Raw genomic sequence first — 24,542 nt, forward strand, 5'->3', positions numbered from 1 at the left:
CAGACTCAGCTTCAAAAGGCACCTCCCTCATCTCACAGTTGGGAAATCAAATTCTGGAGAGCTGGGAGGACCAGCCCAGAGTTCCACAGCTTGTTGAGGGCAAAGCCTAGCCCACAGGGCAACCACATACTATGAATGGCCACCAGCTCAGGTAGGATCCCCAGAGGCAGGCTCAGTTCAGGCTTAGCTGACATCTGGGAATCCCTAAGGAGCACAAGTGATCAGGGGTCAGGGGTGAATGGAGAGGGAGGGCCCTCAGACTGCAGGAGGCTTTCTATGATGATGATGACCTCTCAAGGCTTCACCAAGTGCCTTGCAAAAGAGAATTCTGTAGGAAAGTAGACGGAATTTACACTGGTCCACTTCACAGTTGGCAGAGCCAAGGTACACTCAGATCAAGTGGGTTTCTGAATTGAGGCTATAGGCTTGGAAAAGAACAGAGATAAGTGGAAACAGAATCTACTTTTCCCTGGAGCCCTTGTGGAATCCTGGAGACTTCTATTTCCTGTTCTGTCCATGCCCTTCCCCATCCCTGAGACTATCCGAAGCATCTATCACTCAAGTTTGTCCTAAAAAACGTTAGCATTTCAACTTGTTGTCAACAGATTTTCCCGCCCTATCTTTGCCCTCTTCCTATTTTTCTCTTCTGTTTTAAATAAGAATTTATTCACAGAATAAGGGATTATTTATAGATGCTAGTATGTACGTGAAACGGAAACCACAAAGTCTGCAGTTGTGGCATAAATTGTGCCTCTGAATTTTGGCTATGTAGTTTTAAGACCAGCATGAGGGAGGAGGAGTTTTCTGGTTATATTTGTGGCTCGAGAGAGTAATTTAAATGCTCAGGCTCAGGTTCTTTATCAGGGACAGGGACTCTTTCACTGAGGGGTTGCATCCCTAACCCCCGCACACATCGTATACAAATGTGTGTGTATGTGAATGTGCATTTTCTGCAAAGGGAGTGCACAGCTTTCATTAGAAATCATGAAATGTAGGGGAAACAGGATCAGTGTTACATACAGACATAGTGGGTATTTTGGGACATTAAAATTTATTTACTGGAAATTTGAGACATCCTACATATTAAGTATATTACACTCATATCAGAATTTTTTAACTCTTTTTTTGTTCTTAATATTATTTTTGACTGACAAATCATAATTGTGTATATCATATTGGGTATCTTGAAGCACTCCCAAATGGCTCCCCTTGCTCAAAAGTAATTCCCTTTCATAATCCCTCTTATAATTCCCTCTTATAAATCCCTGTTATAATTACATTATAAGAACAACTTTCTTTGGTTAAACATTTATATTTAATGTGTCCCTGATAAAAGGCATATACTGTTTGGGACAGATAATGCTTTCACAGGATAAGGTTCAAACAAATATAACTTACTATGTCATACTAAGAATATTTCAACCAGTCTACTTCCACAATGGTCCAGTGGCCATGTGAAAAATTCTAGCATAAACTCATTGATTTGGTGTTTCTACCTTGCTGGAGGACTGCTGGGTGACCCTGAATAGCCAGCTGTATCAGCATGGTTTTTTTCCGTACATCATAAAAGATTTTTGTTTCTCTATGCTCTTTGATATCATTTATTCGGCATCTGTAATAGATGATTGCCTGCATTAGATGTAATCCTCCTGTTGATGGTGAAGAAGCTGAGCCTCCAAGTAGCATGTTCAAAGTCACAGATGGAGGAAGAGAGAGAACCAGGATTTGAGTGACTGATGATCTGTCGCTGGGTCTACACTCTTTCCTCTAAGCCATGTTACATCTTGTACAATATCCACTGCTAACTGAATATTTCCTTTTGAGGATCTGATCCTGGCCAAGGATCAGCTAGAGTTCCAAGTGAAAGAATTTTGCTAAAAGTAGGAAGTTAGCAGAGGAAGAGATACCAAGATGCAGCTGGCTCTTTAGCTGAAGACCATCACCTGGCTGAAGGCTCCACAAACCTGTGACACATGCAAGCTCAAGCCATTGCATTTCTCCTCTTTTGGGAGTCAGCACATTTTACATAGGAAAGTTATTTAGCTTTGGTTAACTTTGAGAAGAAAACAGTAACTAAACATAATGTACCAGGTTCCCTGTCGCTTAGCTGGTCCAAGGGCCTGTCTAGTAAACATAATGTACCTACTGCTTTCTTAAACAAACCTCTTTTAAAACAAACTATTTTAGCATCCCTAAAATTAGGACAGTAGCCGTGAGTTAAATAAAACAGCAAGTGGAAGACACAGGTGTGAATACAGAAATAGTAGAATTTGCTAAATTGCCTTGGTCTCACTTATCCATTTGTGATTTAATATTTTTATGCCATTTTATTGGTGCTTGCTCTTATGCATCAGTAACCAAACACATTTCTGTTAAGTTTCTCTCAAACTATAATCATTTAGGGCAGGTGTCTGCAAACTTTTTTTCCAAAAAGTGCCAAAGTATATTTATTTTGGCTCTTTAGGGCCTATGGTCCATGTCACAATTACTCAACTCTCCCATGGTTGAACAATCATAGATAGTAGGTAAACAAATGAGTGTGGCTGTGTTCCAACAAATCTTTATCTATAAAAACAGGGAGTGGGCTAGATTTGGCCTGGGGGTTATAGTTTGCTGATCCCTGGTTTAGAGGATAGATATAATTTGAGGAACACTAAGGAAAAGATAAGAGAAAGTAAATAATCAGGACACATAGAGGAGTGCTTATCAGAGAAGGTATATATGTGTTAATTTCCTATGTGGACATTTTATTCATATTTTATACATGACATTATTAAATATATACATTTAGTATACATTTAATATATTGCAGAGGGCTTTCTATTTAGCATACTGGGGGAGCACTAAATTGGAAGTCAGTAGGAAATCAGGCTCCAAATTAAGTTTTGCCACTAACTTTAATGTATCATTAGGCAAATTATCCTCTCTGAGCCAAAGAAGGGTAGTGGGATTACGGGATCTCCAAGGATCGTTCTTCTTAACATTGTCTGATGGCATAATTGTCTTATTAAGATTTCTAGGGAGAAATACAAAGTTAAAAATAAAATCATATAGGTTAAAATTATGTAAACATCTGGCCTAGAGCCTCTTGATTCAACTCACATAACTAACCAGACCATGGGGGCCAACAGGTCAAAGGACACTATGTAAAAGACATGACTTAGACACATGGAGTGAGAGGAGCAACACAGGCTCCCATGGGTGGGGACTGAGCTGGAAGGTCACAGTAATGAGTGAACTCCCCCTTGGGCACACTTAGTATGATGAGTAAAGCTTCCTTGTGACTTTAGAGAATGATCATGGGAACACTTTATAAGAAGATCCCAGACAGAAGAGCAGAGCCCCTTGTGGTGTGCATAGCTTTAGGGGAATCAGGGAGCCCCTCCTACCACTATACTCTCCAAACCATGTAGAACCAAAGATGGTTACCTCTTTCTCAAATGGTGTTGTTCAGGATAAATGGTTGATCTTTAGATTTTGGCTTTTGCGTGCTAAGAGGGCTTGTGGTATACAAACCATGCTCTGCAGGGAAAGGGTTGTTGTGGGAGATAAGCTGGAGGGACTTTGTGTCCCATCCCTGCTTCAGGCAGATCCCCCATCCCACCTTTTATTTGTTGGTGCTAAACAAATGCTAGTCCAGCCACTTCACTATAAATGGGAAAACTGAGTCTCAGAAGGGGCCATAAGTGGACGTGGCTGTTGCAGAAAGTGAGAGGAGATTCTGTGAGGCATGAGAAGTTCATATTCATCTTCTGGGGATCGGGCATGCCTGGGGTCTGTAGAAGGCATATGTAGAAGTGAATACTCAGTCTCAGTTCCTCCCAAGGACTCTCTGGGTCTCTCAGCTTTGCAGGGAACATTCTCATAGTACTCTTCAGCAGAGTTCCCTGATGGCCTTGTACAGAGAACCCGATGATTGATGAGGGTATAGCACAGCTCCTCTGAGTAGGTCTGGTCAACATTGTCCTGCTTGTCAAAGAAGAACCATCATCAAGATTTGGTCTCTTGCCATGACCTTTACATTTCAGTCTCAACACAGGCTTGACCCTTGGTCAAGTCTGTCTTCTATGACCACCTCCTCCCCATCTCTTGGCCATTTTTTTCTAAATGGCTGCTTCTACCCCAACCACTAGGCTAGCTGCAAGAGTGCTTAAGGTCTAGAGCCTGCTCAGGTGCATCCTCTGCCCCTTGTTCCAGAGTGACCTCTGACCACCTGATATAGTTTGGATATTCGTCCCCTGCAAATCTAATGTTGAAATTTTGTTCCCATTGTTGGAGGTGGTGCCTAGTGAGAGGTGTTTTGGTTATGGGAGCAGATTTCTCATGAATGGCTTAGTGCCATCCTCGCAGTTATGAGTGTACCGCCTGAAGAACCATGAGCCAAATAAACTTCTTTTCTTTATAAATTACCCAGCTTTGCATATTCCTTTATAGCAACACAAGTGGACTAAGACACTACCCATATAATTCCCAGTCTCATGGCTCTGAGGATAGCCCATTCTAATAAAAAAGAATAATCTGGCTGGGCACGGTGGCTCACACTTGTAATCCCAGCACTTTGGGAGGCCGAAGTGGGTGGATCACCTGAGGTCAGGAGTTCGAGACCAGCCTGGCCAACATGGTGAAACCCCATTTCTACTGAAAATACAAAAATTAGCCAGGTGTGATGGCACACACCTGCAATCCCAGCTACTGGGGAGGCTGAGGCTGAGAATCGCTTGAACCCAGGAGGCGGAGGTTGCAGTGAGCTGAGATCGTGCCATTGCACTCCAGCCTGGGTGACAAGAGCAAAACTCTGTCTCCAAAAAATAAATAAATAAATATAAATAATCTTATGATATCTTAATGTGTTTTGGCTGTGATATTTAATTACCCTCTAGAGATATTTATGTTATTAAATAGGGAAGCGACTCAAGGGAAGGTTTCACTTATGATGGGATATCAGGAGATAAAAAGCAAAGCAGCAAAGTACAGGGGGAAAAGCATGGATTGTGAAGTGAGACTTGGTTTTGAATCCTGGTTCCGCCCCCTTTTAGCTATTTGGCTTTGGGGAATTGTCACTTAATCTCTCAGTTTTCTCATCTATAAAATCGGGGGATGGGATGGATTATAGTAGCAATATTCAAGGGTTGTCGTTTTAGCTACATGAGTTGATGTGTGTAAAGCACTCAGCATGTTGTCTGTCATAAATGAAGTGGTCAGTAAATTTAAGTTCCTTTCAATAAATTATACAGCAGAAGTGGCTGCTGCTTCTGCCACCCGGCCCTGCACCTGCCACCCGAGTTCACAAGCACTGACATCTAAAGTCTTTCTCCATGTAAGGGTCAGAAGGGATCTCAGAGGCCAACTTCTCCTGCCATTTAGGGTGTCTGTACTTCTATCATCATCTCAAAAAATAGCTTAGAGATGTTCTTATTACCTGGATGGGAGTAGATGACATTCTTTCATCTGGAGAAAGAAAATACACTCAATGAATTTCAGGTTATGGGGAGATTTGAAGGGAAGAGCAGGGGAGGCTAGAATATAAATAACTAAAAAGCCAAGAAACAGCTGGGGTAGCTCTTCTCAGGCTATTCTGATCTACAGCACATCCCTGGGGAGTGACAGGACATCTAAACAAGTCACAGCTAGAGCTGTGCTCAGCCTGAGAGGTGAGAGGGGGGAGACACATTTGGTTAGTCTTTGGAAAGGAAATCACGATTTCTTCCTCCAGCTCTCTTTCCCTCCTTACCTAGCCCCGTCTCCTTCCTTACACAAAATTGATTTGTGTTCCTTACACAAATTCAGTGCCTCTGCACCAGGCACTGGGGAGACAAAGGAGAATCAGAAACATTCTCTGTCCTCAAAAGGCTCACAAGCTAGCACAGGAGACAGACAAGGGGCTCTGAGAGATCCACACTGTGGAGCAGAGGGCCGTCGTTTCTACTCTAGGTGACGGGATGGTGGTGGTGTGATAATTGGTGTTCAAGGAGTTTTGCAGAGCAGGAAACTCTTAAGCTAAATATTCCCATTCCTATACCTGCTGGCAGATAACAAATGAGCAGGGCGATTTTTCAAAGCCTAGTTAAAACCAAATGGCTCTGGCCATTCAGCAAAGAGGCAAACTGACACCCTTGCTACCCTCTTGCAAACACACCAATTCCATAAACAAACATGTGCCCTCACATGAAAGTCTACAGAGGAAGCTACCATATGGTATATGGATTGACATTCTCTCGGTCCTCACATCCTGGATTTCCACATCTCCATAAGCTCCTATAGGCATCTAAAACTTCCCTGATTATCATTATAAGAAAAGCATCTTCAGCATAGAGTTTTAGCATCTGGTCTTATTTCTATTACGTTTTGCTCTGATGGAAATTGAGGTTCCCTGGGACCCACGACTCCTGGAGTGAAGTGGCTAGGGTGGGAGGCTGTATTATTCATTTACACATCTTGCAGGGCTAGATTTTAAGATTCTATGTAAATGAATTAGGTTCTCCTCTTTAAGGAAGGAAAAGTCAAAACTCTTCCATTTTTCTTCTTCAGAAACACAATGGCTTGTCCTCAGGCCTACACTTTCTTATTTTTATTTTTAGGTGTGATACAATTCATCACACTCTCCTTCTAGAATTCTTTCTCCTTAACTTCAGTGCTATTCTATCACCAGAGACTACTGCACCAGCCTCGTAAGTGTTCTTCTGGTATCTGCTCTTCCGGCTCCTTGCTGCAATTTGTTTTCTGCACAGGAACCTGGGTGATATCTTTAATACAAATCTAATCATACTTGCCCCCGCCTCCCCACTGTGTAAAGCCAGTATCTCCTGCAGCTGTCAGGACAAAGATGAAAATCTTTAACTTGGCCAGGAGGCCCCACCCCTCCCCTATCCCAGGCTGGCTTTCTTGCAGTTTCTTGTAAGTGCCTTTCTCCTCCACCTTTTGTATCCTTGCCCCCAGTTACTGCCTTCAGCCTCCAGGCCTCAGGCACTAACTGAGGAATTTGGAGATTAATGAGCCAATTCCTGCTTCAATGAGCTCACCATCTACTGAGGACAAAGGACATGCAATTGGATACAGTAAAGCAAAATGTGTAGATATTGTAATTGAAATATGCCTAAGGGGCTTTGGGAACATAGAGAAGAAGTAGTTTGGAAATGTAAGTCTTATCAAAAGTGAAAATACTAGGAAATCAATGACTTACTTTCGTTTTGGGAATCTTGCCTCTTTTCAAAAATGAGTATTTTTTTCCTGTAAAAGAAAAGCAAAGCAAATTGTTTTAATATTCAGAAACTCTCAAAGGAAATGACACAAGCCTACAAAACTTACTTTTAACTCTTTGTTAAAGTTATATACCTTTTATAATACCTCCTTCAGCATAGATGAGTTAAGTAAAAAAGAAAAAAGTAAAAGATGAGGCCAAATAGAAATATATTCCTTTGTGCCTCTTTCTCTCTCTCCTCCTCTCTTTCTTTTCTAAATCTGATAGGGAATTGATTTATAGATGGGGAAATATGGTGATAGAGGTTACTTTTTTGGAGACTTTTTTTCTGACAAAGTATCAATTTCTTTTCTATCATGTGAGTGAAGGAGCCAGGATTATTTTCAATCTCAATTCTAATCTATGATCTCCAAAACAAACAAACAAATAAACACACTCTTCGCATAAGGGAACACTGTAAAAAGACTCCCTGAAAAAATGTGATATAAATATAATGGAAGCCCACTATCGTTTCAGTAGACAAGAACATCTGCTGTGAGGGTAACCCTATGTCCTGGTTTGCCTCAGTCTGGTGAAGGTCATTATCAATCACTTAGCGAGCTTTAACTATTTTTAGCATCCCTTTCACTCTCAAAGGTATCTTAGTTCAGATGATAAATTATACTATCACCCCGACTATAAGTTCTATGTGCAAGGGATAGAAATGTGTGCTTCGGAACATGCAGACTCAGATTTGCAGTGTGAAAAAAACGTATGTTTTCTACGTTAGTAGCTAGTTTCATCTTTGCTTCTGAGGCTTTCCTGTTTGAGGAGAGCATGCGACCCATGAGACTATTGTTCCTGTTTCTCATCAAATTGGAAGGATTGCTTCCCTGATTAACTCTTAGGTGATTGTATCTGGGCTACTGACAGGCTTCCACTGTGGCCACAGACAGTCACAGGTAACTTACAGCAAATACCACATTGAAACCACACTTAGGGAAATAACTCCTAAAAACAACTGTCCACTCACCATGGAAGGCAGAAACACCCTTCAGCGATATGGTGATCCCAGCATCTAAAATACCCAAGAGAGATGGCAAATCATAAGGTTGATTTCTGCAGCTTTGTTAAGGTGACTCCTTTCCTTTTGCCATTTCTGTGGAAAACTTTTTTTCTCCCCGCAAGCGTGTTTCATTCTAGATAACTTGGACACATCTCTCATGGTAGAATGCCTTTGTCTTCCTAGGATGAAGATGATACTATCAAATTCCTAATCAGGAAAAAAGCTTTCTGCTGTGTTCCCAGCAAAGGAAAAATGTTTCCTCACTCTCAATTCTGGTAATTTCCTTGGTTCCCTTGTAATGAAGAACACGTAAGTGTTATCCCCAGGAAATCAAGGTACAAGTGTATGGAAATTTTACAAATCATTTTTTTCAGGTATGGGTTAGGCAATATCAGTATTTTACTATATTCTGAATTTCTCCAATTTACAGTATATTGCAATTGTTTGCTCACTTGTCTATATTCTACACTAGAATGTGAGCTTCACAAAGCTGGGGACCATATTGATCTTGTTCATCGTGGTATGTATTTCCAGTCTATGACACAACATCTGGCACACAGTAAATGGGTTTTCAAAAAATATTTGATGAAGATATGAATACAGAATGAATAGCCAAGGACAGGACAACCCTGGTGCAGGAGGTCAGCAAATCTACCACCTTGACTCCAACGATATAGTTAAATAACAGGACTTCTCTCTCTTATAGCACAAAGGCTTAGAATCTCTCTGCAGTCCTGCATCTACATTAATGTATAAGTATCATTCTGTACATTTTTCTGAATTTGAGGCATAGTCAACTACCTACATGGTTGAATGTGAAAGCCCTTTATAAAGTAGTATCAGTTACAGTATGTAAAAATGTTTGGAAAACACCATCCAAAAATATCTCCCCCCGTGAGCTTTCCCATGAAGTTTCATCAGGAGGAGCAGTGGAGGAGAGGCTGACTGCATCGTGACCTTGGCTGTGATCACCTGCTTGGCTGAGCATTCTGACAACCTCTAAGATCTATGCATCATCAAAGCCTTTGGGGCCCAGAGGCACAGCTGCAGCTCTTCCTCTTCTTTAGGTTACCTTCAATGTGCTTCAGACCGTTTGCTTACATTATCTGCTTTGTTGCTAAGGAAACATCGTAAGAAAACTACTGAATCACACCAAGTTAACAAACCAGATTCACTGAGGAGAAATGAATGAGATAAGAGGAGGGGGATGATTTTGAGAGATATTCTCTGAACTCCTGAGGCCACAGTTTTTAAATCTATAAAAGAGGATGTATATACTGCTTACACATGGAGTTATAAGAATAAGCTGAGGTTAAATATGGGCAAAAACGATCTGTAAGCTGGCTGTTTCTCCTACTTGACTTTTCTGCAGTTTATTCTTGCATTTCAACATGGTGGTTTTGGTTTGGGATGGGTTCAGATAGCCTCCAAGAAGCAAGCTAGACAAATCTCTATACCCTTAGGCTACGTGTCAGGAATTTGAGGTATCTGTCTCTTTCACAATGCCTTCTCTGGCTCTCTGGTCTACCCAACCTCTCCCTTGTTATAATGCCGTGGCCCTTCTGATTTATTTCATCATTTGAACTGTATGCCTTAAAATATGCCCAATGATACCCCTGAAAATATGTAATTCTCAACTTGAACTGAAAAAATTCACCCTGTTGAAAGGAATCTCTGGGTCTCCAGCCCCTAACGCGGGCATTGGTGTTAGAAAATAACAACAGTGCTTGTTTTTTAATTGCTCCTCTTTCAAAATCTCCTCCTGAAACCATGTGAAAAGCACAGATAACTTTACAGGCCACAGAAAAACTGACCTTGTCAGCCCTTAGGATTCTTGGATCCTGGAACATTAGTTCCATATTTTAATTATTCCTTTCCTTAGAGAGAATTCTTTAGGGCTGGACATTTGAAAGGTCTGTTCAAAAAGAATTAATGAGGTGGTCTTTGTTTAACAACATCAGGGCAATCACAATGGTGTCTCCACAAACTTTCTAAAAATTGTCGTAACATGGGGCATGTGGTCACTTCAGAAATAGACACCTATAGCTTAAAATAAAATGGCTAGGGTGGAGGTTGAGCACAAAGGTACCTGAGATAGACAAACAAAATGACAACAGGAAATAAGACCTTTTATTTTATAACAGGGCATAACAGGGACTAGCAGGGTCTTAGTTCCTGTTGCTAGGAGTTACATTAGGCTTCTAGCAAAGTAGCATATCTCCTGTCCAAAGTTTTCAAGCATTTTATCTTTTGTCCTGTCTTCACATTTGTTACTATTGCAACTGCTACTGGTCTAAACAGGGCCCTCTCTCACTGGGATGTGAAGTCCAGGGCTTGACATACTTCGTTCTCCTTGGGCAAGGTCTGGGGGGTGTTTGGTTGATTTTGCTCTCACCTGGATGTTCTCTGTTTGGGGCTTTGCATTCTCACATTCCAAGGCATCTCTTGAGTGTTCTGCTGCCGCCTGAAACTCAACATATCAGAAACAGGCTAAGTATTTCCTAAACAGGCCTGTCACTTCTTTTCATAATTTTTCCGACTTTCCTCATTTCTGCTATTTGTGTGTAACTCAGAAATTGACTGGTTGCCCTCACACATGTTAATACTGTTTCCTCAAGCACATGTCGCAAGCTACCTTTGATCTGACATGCTCTCCATTGCCACAGCAACAGCCCACTGATGTTCTCCAACCTCCATGAACAAGTGATCCTAAATCATCTGATCCCAAATATCCAGGGATCCTCGTCATGACCCTTGAGAGTATCCGTGTCCAGAGAGAGGCCTGAGGTCCTCAGCTACCATCTCTTTGGTGCAGTTCCAGGAGCTATGCACAAGTAATGGGGAAAGGTACTGGCTTTGTCTTGTGTAAATCACACCATCTTTCACAGAAAGCATGGAGGCCCAGAACAAGGGACAGAAGGAGAAGAAAAGGATTGAATAAAGAAAATAAATTGGTTCATTGTTTGGGTTAGATTTCTGTATACCCATCTTCCCACTTGTTGGGAATTGGGAGTATGAGGATAAAGAAACTAACACTTAAACACTACTTACTATATGCCAATCATTTTGTGTGTTATATTTCATTTAATCCCAGAATAAATCCATAAGATAGATATTATCATTATATTTTTTATACTAATGAGGAAACTGAGGCCCAAAATGCTAGGCAACTGGTCTGAGGATCCACAGCCACTAAGGGGGAAAAGCTGGGTTTGCTGCTGGCAGGTCTCTTCCTCTGAGACTGAGCTCCTCTCATGAAGGGATGAGTGCCATTCTATTCTGTGCAAAATTTCCCTGACTTCTTAGCTTATTTGATCTGGAGAGACACGGTTGGGGGGGTATGCTGACTAGATGATAACTGGGTGTTGGGGTGACAATGAAAATTAGATACCAATATATACAAGACTTTTGAATACGTTAACGGAAACATTTTATTTAATTATTTTAATGAATTTATTTTTAAGACTGGGTCTTGCTATGTTGTTCAGGCTGCCCTCAAACTCCTGGGCTCAAGCAATCCTCCTGCCTCAGCCTCCTGAGTAGCTGGGACTACAGGTGCATGCCACTGCACTTGGTTCAAGGGAGACCTTTTAAATCATCATAGAAATAAAGATGTTGGGCAAACTGATCAACTATTTGGAAAAAAATTTACATCTGACACCATATATTGAATATATGTTGCCAAATGTAAAATAACAAAATCAAAACTTATGTGAGTTGATTTGTCTTATCTTAGGAAGAGCAAAGAATTTTAAGCATGAATGCAATGGCAGAAACCAAAAAGCTTTCTAGATTTAAAATCGAATTTTCTTTAAAATAAATAAAAAACCATAAGAAGTCCAAATAGCATAAGATGTGTGCACCTTGGAAAAAGGTTTTTTTTCTTACATAAAACAAAATTTTAAAGTAAAAAAATTTTTTTAAAGTTTTTTTGCACTTATTCAGTGCACGTGATATGCCAGAAACAATGCCAGGAACCAGGAATTCAAAGATAAATAAGAAACAATCACTACATTTGAGCATCTCATATCTAGTAATAAAAATAGTAATTTATATAATTGTTAGAACAATGCTAGAGTAGAAGATTGACAAGGGGCTGTGACAACCCAGGGTAGAGAAGTCTCAGACAACATGATTCTTAGGAAGGGACATGAGATATTCCACAGGACCACCAATCCTCTTTTCGGCAAGTGGTCAAAAGTGGGCTACCATTTTTTCCTGTGTTCCACTCTCCAGTAGCATGAACTGAGACCAGGGATTCCAAACATAACCCTGTGAAGACCCCCTCTGGCTCGCTTACTCTCTCTAGATCACCCCACTTTATACCCTAGAGATTACCTTGTCTGTGGTGGCACTATTTTGGTGGCACGGCTTTGATATTAAGGAAGATGATGGTCAGAAAAAGAAAGCAGAAAATATCTTCTAATTTTGAACCCTACTTTATGTCAGGCACTATGCTAGCACAATACACACTAGAACTCTCTAAGGTAGATATTGTATTATTATTTCTACTTAAAATAAAGAGGCTGAGGTCCAGAAAGTAAATCTGAGTTCTGTGCCTATTTAATCTAGATGACCTCTGCTTACCTGCTTGCAGGGAGTGCACATCAAAGGAAGACTCAAGGTGGCAGGAAGCTTGCTGTTTATTTCAAACTTAAAATAGTGGCTGAAAGAGGGTGGTGATTTTGACCTCCTTGTGGAGCATGAGGAGCTCAGGAGAGCATCTCCTTCCCGGGCTTTCAGAAAGTTGTTTCATTTCTTAGGTGGTAACCTATTATATAGACCTTCCTTGGTAAAGTCTTTCCACCTTTCAGCTATTCTCCATCAGCTGCTCACCATGATTCTTGGGAGAAGGCAAAACCTATGGGAAATTTAATGTGGTATCTGGCACAGAGTAGGCACTGAAGGCTTGGCAGTTTCCTTACCCAACTACTTTCTACCCCAACTTAGTGTGCTAACTGTATACTAGCTTTCTTTTTCTCTTCCTTGCTGTATTGTCCTGTCCCATCTCCTCTGCTCTCCCACAGGGAGTCTAGACTTACCTGTTTTCTCTCAGCAGAGAATTTCCCATCCTCTCAGTCCTCTCAGGGCTTCCCCTCCGTCCCTTTACCACTTCCTTCTTGCCTTGTGCTCTGACAGGGCAACTCCTGACTTAAAGAAAGGGCTGTGTGGCTCTGGCCACCCGTGCAGAGACAGCAGAAAGGAGAAGGGTGTCTCTGCAGAGGGAAGGAAGAGGCTGGGGGAGGAGTGTTAGAGGCACGCATGTGCAGAATGTCCTAACATGTCAGTGCCTGAACCAACCTGGCTGTTGGCCATAACCAGCAACTACCCGTCAATGAGAGCTTCGAACCTCTGGGGAATCCCAGGTCTGAAATTACAGATGGGCCATGGGAGTTTTTCCACTACAGATATTTACGTTTATAAATCACGTTGTCTTCTTAGAAAAGTCAGAAGGAGGTTAAAACAGTCAAGCCACAGACCTGTAGAAAATATAGTATCAACAACTCTCAAATCTGAAAACAAACACCCAGTAACAAAATGGGCAAAATATTTGAACAGACATTTCACCAAAGGAACTATACAGATGAACATTAAAAGATGCTAAACATTGTAGTTATTAGGGAAGTGTAAATCAAATCCACAATGGAACACTTTTACATACTTATTACAATGGCTATAAAACCCTGACAATATCAAGTATGGCAAGGTATGCAAAGCAACTGGAAGTCTCATGCATTGCTGATGAGAATGCAAAATGACAGCCTTTTTGGAAAGAAGTGATAAGGACAGAAGGCAGGGCTTTACTGGGTAGAAGAGGGTGGTTCACTGGCAAAGGTCCCACCCTCAAGCCTTGAAACCGAAGCCCTAAATGAGAACAGTTATCCCTGTTATCCTGCCCAAATGTTACTCTTTAGCCTGTCCAGCCCCCCTATCCCGTGCCCATATAAACCCCAGACCTCAGCTGGCAGACAGACAAGCGGCTGAACATCAAGAGGAGAAGAAGCAACTGAGTGTCAGAGATGTGGCTTAACTTCAGGTGGCATGACTTCAGGGAGGAGCCCGGCCAGAGACAGCAGACTTCAGGGAAAGGTCACTTTCTTCCTGCACCATCCCCTTTGCAGCTCCCCTTCCACTGAGAGCCACTTCCACCATTTAATAAAATCGTCCACATCCATCAACTTTCAAACCATTCATGCAACCTGATTCTTCCTGGATGCTGAACAAGAACCTGGGTACCAACAGGGCAGGGTGTAAAAGGCTGCCACCCTGACTCTCCATTGAGTGGGTTAACACTTAGCTGTCCACGGATGGCAACTGCTAAAAGAGCATGAATTGTAACACATCCCTAAATGCTGCTGTTGGGCTGGAGCCCAAAAGTGCTCATCGAAGCCCTGGCACCCGCTTGCCTGCGTGCTCCCGCTCCCACAGAGAGTTTGAGCATGGTGGTGGCCAAGTAAGTAGGCCACACCCCTGTCGCAAGTCCCGAGAAGGGGTCAAGGGAACTCTCCCATCTCAGAAGTATGGCAATTTCTTATAAAATTGAACATAGGGTTACTGTACAACCTGGCAATTTCACTCCTAGGCATTTAGCCAAGTGAAACTTATGTCCTCTAAGACTGTGTGTACAAATTTTTATATGTGCTTTACTCATAATAGCCGAAATACCCTGGAAATAGCCCAACTGATCTTCATTGAGTGAATTGCTAAATAAGCTCTGTGTTATATTACATCCACACAACAGAATCCTGACCATCATTGAAAAGGAGTGGACTATTAATACATGCAATAACTTGGATCAATCTCAAATGCATTACACTAAGTGAAAGAGACCAGACTTAAAGCCTACCTTCTGTGACATTAGAGATAAGGTGAAACCACAGGAACAGAAAACATATTAGTGTTGCCAGGAGCAAAAGGTGGGGGAGGTGTTGACTTTCAAAGCACAGGAGGAAATTTTTTGTTGTTGTTCTTTATCTTGATTGTGTTAGTGCCCACATGACTGTATGCATTTCTCATAATTCACAGAACTGTATACTAATAAGGGTGCACTTCACTGCACATAAATGAATCTCAACAGACAAAAGGTTAAAAAAGAAAGAAATCTCGGGACAGGAATCATGGATTTTTGTATTATCCTTGTATTTGATGGTTGTTTCCAGTTTGGTCACTCATCTGTTTGTTCATTCCTTTAACAAGTATGTGTCGAGTGCCTACTATGTGCTGGGCACTGTAGGTTCAATGGTAAGAAAAGCAGATACAGGACTGCTCTTGTGAAGTTCCTTGAAAGAAATAAAACAAAGTGCAAAATATTTTATTGCTTGTCCTTGAGTAATGTAAAGGTCATATCTAAAACAGGCAGGAGAAGGATGGGGAGTGGGCTTAGAAGAAACAATTTCAGAGAAACTAGGGTACTAGCTGTGCAACCCCAGATTCATCTCACATCATTCTTATCCTTATGGCTGCTCTCCAAACTTCCTTTTGGCTCTGTGAGGGATTTCCAGGAGCACCTTATTAAAAATGGAAGATTTTATTATAAAAGATAAGCCATTATTGATCATTCACTTTTCTAAAAAAACACAAATGTGAGAATAAAATAAAAACACACAAGACTCACTAGCCCCTGCAAGACAGAAAGCAGCCCTGGACAGAGAGCCTCCTTATTATATACCTAATGCCTGAACTCACACATTCTAGGGTTTCATGTTTTGTTACCTCTTGCAAAGGATAGGAAACTGGCTAGAAAATTCATGTAAAGGAAGGTCACAACTTTAAAGCTATCTGACGCTAATGACTTGTATAATCTAGTTTGCAGCTCTGAGAGACAATATCAAATAAGCATTGTCAAATACTACTCCCACCTAACCTTTGCTGTCATTGTTCTTTGAAATTATCTTTGGGATTGGTTATGTTCTCTCACTGTAGCTTTCGTTTATCTCAGAGCACACACCCTAATGTCCATGTGCAGTCTCCATGCTCAAGTATTCCAGAATACAATTTTCTGGAGTCTAACTTCAGTTGACACCTGACTCCAAATTGCAAATCTACCTCCAACCAAAAAGAAATGAGAAATTAGTTTTTAAGGGCAATTAGCAAATATATTACAAAAATAATTTCAGATAAACGCTATGTGACAAATGGTGCTGTCAAGTCCTCTTATGTGAATACTAGTCATTGTTTGTCTTGAGAAAATGTGTGCAGTGGAGGATATCTTCTTGGCATATAAAAGGGGAAGATTTCTTTCTGTTTTAGTAATCTCTTTAGGGGATTGCCTGTGGTGTGCATTACATTCTGGTTGAATATTCAGAAATAAAAGTGTTTTCTTTCTCTTCTATTTTTGTGGTGAGGTTTTCTGAAATAGCAGGAGATTTTGCTTTTAATTCTATTTCCCCAATAGTAGCTCCATTAATTTTTTTCATGAATCCCTCATGTAATTGACTCTAGGAAAGATGTTAGGGTGGTAAATTTTCTTATTCTGTAAATATTTGAAATTCAGGAAAACCCTCCCATCAATAAATTAAATGAAGCATTGAAGTAAAAAAGAATATTCTTAACAAAGCTTATATTGAAAATCAGGTTTCCACAGCATATAGATCTAAGAAACCTGGGGGTACCCTTGTCTGTTTCTCCTATTCTCCTCTTTCAAAACCATTTCCTTTCCCAGGCTGGATAATTACAATAAAAAATAGAGTATGTGTTCCAAATTATTGAATGCTTCTTCCTTGTGTATGGAAAATCTGGGATGACAACCAGTGGTCTGCCATTTTGTGTACGAGAAAAAGAGGTATGTATGTGTGGGAGTCGGAAGGAATCTTGGTATACTATTATAACTAACCTCTCTCTTCCCTATTACCTTCAGAAAAAAAGAAAAACAATCAATCTAACCTAAAAGTGCCCCTTCCTCAGTGGCCTCAGCACATTTTGCACTACCTAGAGGCTAGCAGCAGGGGACCAGAATGTCTTAGCATTGTGAAAGAGAGACCACATGGACAGGGTGCTTAGCCAGTGAGTAGGGCTATTGTTGACTTCCCACCAGTATGAATGAACAGATCCTAGACCCTAGTTGGGGCAGCCTGAGCAGACACAGCCTGGATGCTGCTCCATGTGTGGCTTAATTAGTTCCACTATTGTCTAAAAGAGTCTTTGAGTCCAGAGAGCCATGGTAGGGTGAGTTGGAAATCAATCTGCCCATTGTAATTTAGGGGAAGGTTAGGAATTGCTTTCAAGCTTCTGTTTTACTCAGGCCGCTAGATGGAGAAGCTGAGCTGTGGAAGTGTTAGCTATCAATCACTTGTGTAAAGTAGCATGAAAGAGCAGGATATTTATAATAGATTTACTGCTGTAAAACTGACTCTGGACTATAAATAATATATCTCCTCTCCGTAAATGAGTAGAGCAACACACCCCCACACAAAGAAGCCCAGATAACAAATCTTTGAATCATAGATTCACTCTTTATTCTTCTCAGTGTTTAACTCCAGTGCCTAACACGTGTAAGAAACTACATTTCTAACACATGTAAGAAACCGTATGTGTTGAATTGGAAATAAAAGCCTGGATATTTGTAAGCAGATGATAGGGAAATCAGAGAACGTTTGGGTTGAGATCTTTAAATTTACTTTCCTATCCTTTGGCATTGCTGTAAAGAATTAATGACCAATGACTGTTTTGCTATATCCTTTGAAGATCATAGAAAAGTATAATTACAATAAGTATTTGTTGAGAGCTTTCTAATAATCCAGTAATTCTGTTAAATGCTTTAGATACAATTTCTAATTTCTTCATGTAAGAATTCTGTGGAATAAATACCATTTCCTCTTTGTTGTAGATGAGAACACCAGGCTCAAGTGACTTGCTCAAGGATATCCCAATAGGAAGTGACAGAGCTAAGATATAAGTTCAAACGGGGTGTGGATATATCTATTTGTTGTCCTATTTAATAAGTACTCATAGAAAGACGTCTTAGCTTGACTTTGAAACCTGGTCTACATCACTCCAATGTGTCAATAAGGAGCAGTATATTTGCATGTAGTGTGTCAAGGCTTCCCAGTTCTTACGCAGTTTTCACAATCTGGGCTGGCCTCAGCACAAGGCACGTTAGAGACCTTTAGGGTAAGAGTGAGTGATAAGAGTGATTCTAGATACTCCTGCAGTTTCAAAGGCCTAGATGGGATAATTCTAGCCCTAGCCCTAGCCCAAGCCCAGTCACTTTCTGGCAATGGTGAAATGAGGGAAGGGAATTAGGAGAACTAATTATACAGAAAGAAAATTATTTTGGGGCATTTTATTTTGGGAAAAGAAGTGGTTTATTTAAGATTTCTTACAGAACCAGGAGTCAAATAGCTTAGTTAAGACTTCCCTATTCTGCTTCCCTTTAAAAGAGGGCAAAGGCTGCATGGTGAGAGAGTACTGAGGAATCTTCCTGAATAGAACTTTCTACCTATATACTTTGTGATACAGAATATGAGCTGATTAGTGGTCCTAGCTAATGTCAGATAGTTGTGTGTTTGAAAACTGTAACTATTAATTGCTGCTATTCCATATAAAAAATATTTTGTTTTAAAGAGGAGATAACAGAGTTTCAGTAACTCTCTAGGTGAACGTTGGGGTTAGACTTTTGCTTTGTGGTGAAGAGATTTCAGCACATAGCTCCATTGGCTTTGCAGGAGCCATGGTAATCCAGAGATGATTGCCTAGAAACAGAATGGGAACTTTTTCAGTTCACTGGGAATGCTCTCCTAGCTGTAACCACCAGGAGGGTGGGACAGCACTTCTCTGAGAATAAATGACCCTTGGGAAGAATGTTTCTTCATTTGCAAAGTTTCCTGTTTTTCATTAGTAAAACTAATATAGAACATGGAAGATAAGTCAAATATCTGCAGAAAAAGTACAAACCAGGTTTAAGCATTATAAAAGTTAAAGAATAAAGCTAAATTACAAAAATATTCAAGGGTCAACAGACCAAGGAAAGCCTTTTATATAAAAATTTTAAAAGCAGACAATATTCTGGGCATTGTAAGCAAATAAACAGCTTTCCTCTGAAGAGCCAAATGAAAGTGAGCTCTAAGAACCTTCCTCAGCCAAAGTCTGTACATTACATTCTTTCAGGTAAAAACAGAGCCCTAGGCACACAACCCACCATGCCCTGAAGATGAGGCTGGTTATATACATCATGCATGGTACCAGGATTTTATATTCCAGTGTCTTGTGTAGTGGCCTTTTCCCACAGGGAGATGTTTACAATCCAGTACACAAACCTAGTCCATGACATTGACAATAACTAATATAATGGAGTGTATGCAATACTTCTTCAATGGCTTAAATTTCCATGATAAAATCTAAATAACTTAAAAAGCATTACACTGATTGTGCTTGGAGGATTTAAATCCATGTCATCATGCCTAGCTGTGTGACTTTGAGCAATTTATTTGTGTGCTCTAAGCCCCATTACTTCCTTGGCAAAATGGGACTAATGATGGTAAGTACCTCCCAAAATTCATATGATGACTGCATAAGCTAATGAGGGAAAAGCACTCAGAATAGCGTATCAGAAGACACATTAGGCTCTCTGTAAGTAACATTAGGCTCTCTGTAAGTAACAGCTACTGTTGGTGGAGAACACTTCTTCCCTCTCTAGGTCCTTGCTCTAGATCAAGGGCTGAAATCTCCATTGCCTTTATATTGCTGCCCATCTTCATTTTCTCATTTGTTCTACTGAAGTGCGGTGGTTTATTTGGTTGATGTATTTGGAAGTAGAGCCTGGACATTCTGTGTTAATCCCCTTCTTCTTGATACTTTTTGGAGTAAATTTACTCTTAGAAATCTTGCATTTTCTACTGTTCTCAGCTATGCATTAAGCTTAATGACAAATGCCTACAGCAGTCAATCTTTTCAGTTCTAGGGAAAAGAAGGCAACCACCTTATCTAATGTCAGCTCCATCAGTAATAATGGTGAGCTTGTGAATGTTTTAATCTCTATCTGCTTTAACCCTTTATCATAATTTTCAGTTGGTTCAGAACTCAGGAGAGGAGGGGTACTCATTAATGGGGTTCCTTAAACACTTAACAGCTGTCAGGTAATTATCACTGGGAAAAAACTGGTTAAGGTTAGTTTTGGAGAGAAGTGGTAGCAGTTTGATTTGACTTTGTCAACAGAAACAAACCAAGTTGTCTTTTCCACAAGGACACTTTTGTGACAGGAGTTGCCATACTTGGCTTCTAAAATGTGCCCACCACCAGTTATTTGGCATAGCATTCAGATTTCTAGACCCCCAGGTGGAAGTCTGACTCTGAAGACTTATCTTTAAATATATATTTTTTTTTTTTTGGAGATGGAGTCTTGCTCTTTCACCCGGGCCAGACTGCAGTGGTGCTATCTCAGCTCACTGCAAGCTAAATTTTTATTAATTCTTCAGATATCTATTTAGGGCTTACCATATTAGGGGGATATGTGTTATAACTTGTTTTCAAATCTCTGCTCTGCCTCTTCCTAGTTGTAAGATTTTCAGTTTACTCATTCATAAATTGGGAATAATTGTACTTACCTTATATGATTGTTACAAAATGAGTTCATCATAACTGTATGGCATGTGTTGTATGCCTAACATACAGAAAGCATGCACTAATTCTTCACTGTTAAGACTATTATCTAAAATTACATACTAGGCATTGTGCTTGTTGCTGTGAGTATAATGGTGAATAAAGTGATTACTGAAAGTTTCACTCAGGGCTAAGTTGCCTGATTCAGTCTGAATCAGTTTTCATTCCTCACTATTATAATTCTCTGAGAGCTACCGAGATGAGTGAAGTACAATGAGTGACAAAAATCAATACTTGGATCAAGAACAGCATTTAAACTATATTTTAATACATTTTATTTTTCATAAAGTGAACCAAACCATTATTGCTGTAAGAGCAATATGCAAAATATCTAGATGGCTATAAACTTATTTTCTGGCTTTAAGACTAAAATTTACTCTAAGATTTTCTAAAATGTTTTGTATATTTAAAATAACAAATATTTTAAATCAAGGAAATTTTGCAAAAAGTATATATGTTGAACTGCTGGTTTCAAGGTCCAAATTTCTTTTCTGCTTAGCACCAAGATCATCCACACAGGATCCAACCTGAAGTTACTCCTTCTTGATGTAGGGAAGTGTGTTTCTGCAGCAGGAGGCCTCTCATAGCCACAGCATTAATACATGCTTCGGTCTTCTTAACAGTCTTACTCTTTCCTAATAGAAGCGGAAAGAAAAAACAAAAACATAGAGGGCTTTTGAATCTTTCAATATTGACTTACAACCCAGAATAGGATGTACTAGAGGGTCAATTTGACTCCCATAAGACACACTTGGTCATTTTTGTTAAGGCCAAGGAAGGAAATTGAGCAAGTGAGTGTGAATCCCTTGTCACTCATAGAGTGGTGGCAGAATGATTTAACCTAGGAGTCAGAGTCTGAGAAGCCACTGAAGCGTGCTAAAATGAACAGGCATAGTTTATGGATTGTCAGGAGGAGGATTGTCCATTGTGAGAAGCATTGACTTAATCCATTACCACTCATTGAGCTTCAGTTCTGACTATAAAAACCCCCTTCATCAAACCAGTATTGCTGAACGTAAAGGGTGTTAAGAAGAAATAAATAACTTTCACATAATTTATATTTCAATAATGTTTAATAGTTTCATAATCATGCTTTTTATTATAAAATCAATAGAACTGCATAAAATAAGAGAAGTGATCAAAACCACTCCTATTCTCATCCTTCTAATTCCATAATTAAATAACTTGTATTGATCTTTTCTAGACCCTTTTCATGTTGAAAGATGTATATATATTGTATGTTGCATATTTTGCCTTCCTCTTCATATTTTACATTGATCTATACAACCAACCCTTTTAATGGTTGCACAATATTTCCTCATATGGATGTTCTGTAGACAATCTCGTTGTTAGACACTTGGGCTCTTTCGTCATTAGAAGTAGTAGTGCCTTGGACGTTTTGTACACATTTACTGTAAGAATAATTTACTTTGGATTAATCCCTAGAAGCATAATCACTAATTCAAAGTGTGTGAGCATTCTTATAACTTTGTTACAAGTTGTTTTTACTCTTCTACCAGCAAAATATGAGAAAACCAATATCCCTCAGTTTTCATCTATTTCCTCTTCTGTTTCAAAGGAAATAGATGTTACCAATGAATAAAAAAGTTGTCAATTAAAAAAGCAAATGTTAATAATTTTTTTTAAATTCTGCATTTCTTAGATTACTATTTTCTCCATTGTTAGGTATTGTCTTTTACTTGAATTGCTTATTCATAAGTTTGCCTGTTGAAATTACAGTGTTTTCCTAATCATGTTGTACACATTAGTCCAAAGTAAAGATATTGATCTTATTGTAAGCAATTAATTCTTTTTTTGGACCATTCTTGAACTGCTTTTATTATTATAGGATTATATAAGAAACTGCTGACTTGGGTGTCCTCCTGCCAAGAAGATTATCAATCTCCAGCACCTCCTTGTATTTCCTTCTGCTTTCTATGACAGTATTACTTTTTTGAGGTAAAAGAGATCAATGCATTAAACATTACCTAAATCATTCTGACTTAAATTCAATATACAAAAAAGAGAATATCTTCTGATAATATATGAAAGTATTCTTTGGGCAATAATAAAAAAAAATCCTTTTCTTTCCAATTTTTATTTTAGATTCCAGGGATACATGTGCAAGTTTGTTACCTGGGTATATTGCGTGATGCTGGGCTTAGGATTCAAATGATTCCATCACCCAGGTACTGAGCATAGTACCCAGTAGTTAGTTTTTCAACCCTTGACCCCTCCCTCCCTGCCCTCTGTAGAAATCCCCAGGGTCTAATGTTGCCATCTTTATATCCATGAGTACCCAATGTTTAGTTCCCACTTACAGGTGAGAACATGCAATATTTGGTTTTCTTTTCTTGTGTTAATTTGCTTAGGATAATGGGTTTCAGCTGCATCCATATTGCTGCAAAGGACAGGATTTGGGTCTTTTTTATGGCTGTATAGTATTTCATGGCATATATGTACCACATTTTCTTTATTCAACCCACCACTGATGAGCACCTAGGTTGATTCCATGTCTTTGCTATTTATTGTAAGTGGTGCTACGATGAACATGCAAGTGCATGTGTCTTTTTGGTAGAATAATTTGTGTATATATATATATATATCTCCAGTAATGCCATTGCTGCATCAAATGGTAGTTCTGTTTTAAGTTCTTTGAGAAATCTCCAAACTACTGTTCATAGTGGCTGAACTAGTTTACATTCCCACCAACAGTGTATACATGTTTCCTTTTCTCTGCAGCTTCATCATATCTGTTGTTTTTGTCTTTTTAGTAAGAGTCATTCTGAATGGTGTGAGGTAGTATCTCATTGTGGTTTTGATTTGCATTTCTCTAATGATTAGTCATGATGAGCACTTTTTCATGTTTGCTGGCTGCTTGTACGTCTTCATTTGAGAAGTGTCTGTCTATGTCTTTCATGCATTTTTAATGGGGTTGTTTTTTGCTTGTTCAATTGTTTAAGTTCTTTATGGATTCTGGAAATTAGGCCTTTGTTGGATGCACAGTTTGGGAATATTTTCTCCCATACTGTAGGTTGTCTGTTTATTCTATTGATAGTTTCTTCTGCTGTGCAGAAGCTCTTTAGTTTAATTAGGTCCTACTTGTCAGTTTCTGTTTTTGTTGCAATTGCTTTTGAAGACTTAGTCATAAATTATTTGCCAAGGCCAGTGTCGAGAATAGTGTTTCCTAGGTTTTCATCTAGGATTCTTATGGTTTGAGGTCTTACATTTAAATCTTTAATCTGTCTTGAGTGAATTTTTGTATATGGTGAAAGGTAGGGGAAAGAATGAAATAGTTTCAGTTTCATTCTTCTGTATATGGCTAGCCAGTTATCCTAGTACCAGTTATTGAATAGGGAGTCCTTTCCCCATTGCTTGTATTGTCAACTTTGTTGAAGATTAGATGGTTGTAAGTGTGGGGCTTTAGTTATAGGTTCTCTATTCTGTTCCATTGGTCTATGTGTCTGTTTTTGTACCAGTACCATGCTGCTTTGATTACTATGCCTTATAGTATTGTGATGCCCTGGCTTTTTTTTTTTTTTTTTTTTTGAGACAGAGTCTCGCACTGTCGCCCGGGCTGGAGTGCAATGGTGTGATCTTGGCTCACTGCAACCTCCGCCTCCTGGGTTCAAGCAATTCTCCTGCCTCAGCCTCTTGAGTAGCTGGGATTACAGGTACCCACCATCAAGCCCAGCTATTTTT

General features: G+C 39.7%; 3 protein-coding genes and 1 long non-coding RNA gene across 20 annotated transcripts in view, besides 6 other annotated features; 2 read left to right on the forward strand and 2 right to left on the reverse strand.

Moving 5' to 3' along the window:
- C3orf52 (chromosome 3 open reading frame 52) overlaps positions 1-16,575 on the forward strand; it is a 49,993-nt gene extending 33,418 nt beyond the window's left edge. For both annotated transcript variants that reach the window (XR_924171.4, XR_007095726.1), the window contains exon 8: positions 8,427-16,575. The gene's annotated coding sequence lies outside the window, so the exon portion shown is untranslated. The remainder of the gene's footprint in view (positions 1-8,426) is intronic.
- Positions 1,033-13,442, reverse strand: GCSAM (germinal center associated signaling and motility). Of its 8 annotated transcripts, none has more exons than NM_152785.5 (6): positions 13,286-13,442; positions 10,639-10,707; positions 8,211-8,255; positions 7,181-7,227; positions 5,420-5,448; positions 1,033-3,966 (listed from the first exon to the last, which is right to left on the reverse strand). In NM_152785.5, exons 1-6 carry the CDS (start codon positions 13,312-13,314, stop codon positions 3,649-3,651), a joined length of 537 nt encoding a protein of 178 aa, NP_689998.1. In that variant the 5' UTR covers positions 13,315-13,442; the 3' UTR covers positions 1,033-3,648. The 8 variants fall into 8 exon arrangements, with proteins under 8 accessions (NP_689998.1, NP_001177188.1, NP_001177189.1 ...); NM_001190259.2 differs by having other exon boundaries at positions 10,639-10,713; XM_024453437.2 differs by having other exon boundaries at positions 2,721-3,969.
- Positions 1,520-1,629: an enhancer, noted in NCBI's record as "active region_20235". NCBI's record gives its function as "activates an Ori minimal core promoter by ATAC-STARR-seq in GM12878 lymphoblastoid cells {active_cell/tissue: GM12878}" and the evidence as "EXISTENCE:reporter gene assay evidence [ECO:0000049][PMID:35858748]".
- Positions 6,702-7,335: an enhancer, noted in NCBI's record as "OCT4-NANOG-H3K27ac hESC enhancer chr3:111845355-111845988 (GRCh37/hg19 assembly coordinates)". NCBI's record gives its function as "activates a minimal SCP1, AML or CMV promoter by ChIP-STARR-seq in naive H9 embryonic stem cells {active_cell/tissue: H9 hESC(naive)}" and the evidence as "EXISTENCE:reporter gene assay evidence [ECO:0000049][PMID:30033119]".
- Positions 13,048-13,107: an enhancer, noted in NCBI's record as "active region_20236". NCBI's record gives its function as "activates an Ori minimal core promoter by ATAC-STARR-seq in GM12878 lymphoblastoid cells {active_cell/tissue: GM12878}" and the evidence as "EXISTENCE:reporter gene assay evidence [ECO:0000049][PMID:35858748]".
- Positions 13,588-13,767: an enhancer, noted in NCBI's record as "active region_20237". NCBI's record gives its function as "activates an Ori minimal core promoter by ATAC-STARR-seq in GM12878 lymphoblastoid cells {active_cell/tissue: GM12878}" and the evidence as "EXISTENCE:reporter gene assay evidence [ECO:0000049][PMID:35858748]".
- On the forward strand, positions 13,617-15,553 carry TBILA (TGF-beta induced lncRNA). The gene has a single exon (NR_157393.1). It is a non-coding gene; the product is annotated as a TGF-beta induced lncRNA (long non-coding RNA).
- Positions 16,762-17,281: an enhancer, noted in NCBI's record as "OCT4-NANOG-H3K27ac hESC enhancer chr3:111855415-111855934 (GRCh37/hg19 assembly coordinates)". NCBI's record gives its function as "activates a minimal SCP1, AML or CMV promoter by ChIP-STARR-seq in naive and primed H9 embryonic stem cells {active_cell/tissue: H9 hESC(naive and primed)}" and the evidence as "EXISTENCE:reporter gene assay evidence [ECO:0000049][PMID:30033119]".
- Positions 17,282-17,800: an enhancer, noted in NCBI's record as "OCT4-NANOG-H3K27ac hESC enhancer chr3:111855935-111856453 (GRCh37/hg19 assembly coordinates)". NCBI's record gives its function as "activates a minimal SCP1, AML or CMV promoter by ChIP-STARR-seq in naive and primed H9 embryonic stem cells {active_cell/tissue: H9 hESC(naive and primed)}" and the evidence as "EXISTENCE:reporter gene assay evidence [ECO:0000049][PMID:30033119]".
- SLC9C1 (solute carrier family 9 member C1) overlaps positions 21,092-24,542 on the reverse strand; it is a 153,319-nt gene continuing 149,868 nt past the window's right edge. For all 9 annotated transcript variants that reach the window (NR_135297.2, XM_011512718.2, NM_001320531.2 and 6 more), the window contains one exon: positions 21,092-21,475. Coding sequence is in view for 8 of the 9 variants with exons in the window: in XM_011512718.2 (XP_011511020.1) it covers positions 21,466-21,475 (10 nt within the window). In the remaining variant the exon portion in view is untranslated. The remainder of the gene's footprint in view (positions 21,476-24,542) is intronic.

The sequence above is a fragment of the Homo sapiens genome, chromosome 3 (assembly GCF_000001405.40).
Source record: "Homo sapiens chromosome 3, GRCh38.p14 Primary Assembly".
Lineage (NCBI taxonomy): Eukaryota > Metazoa > Chordata > Mammalia > Primates > Hominidae > Homo > Homo sapiens.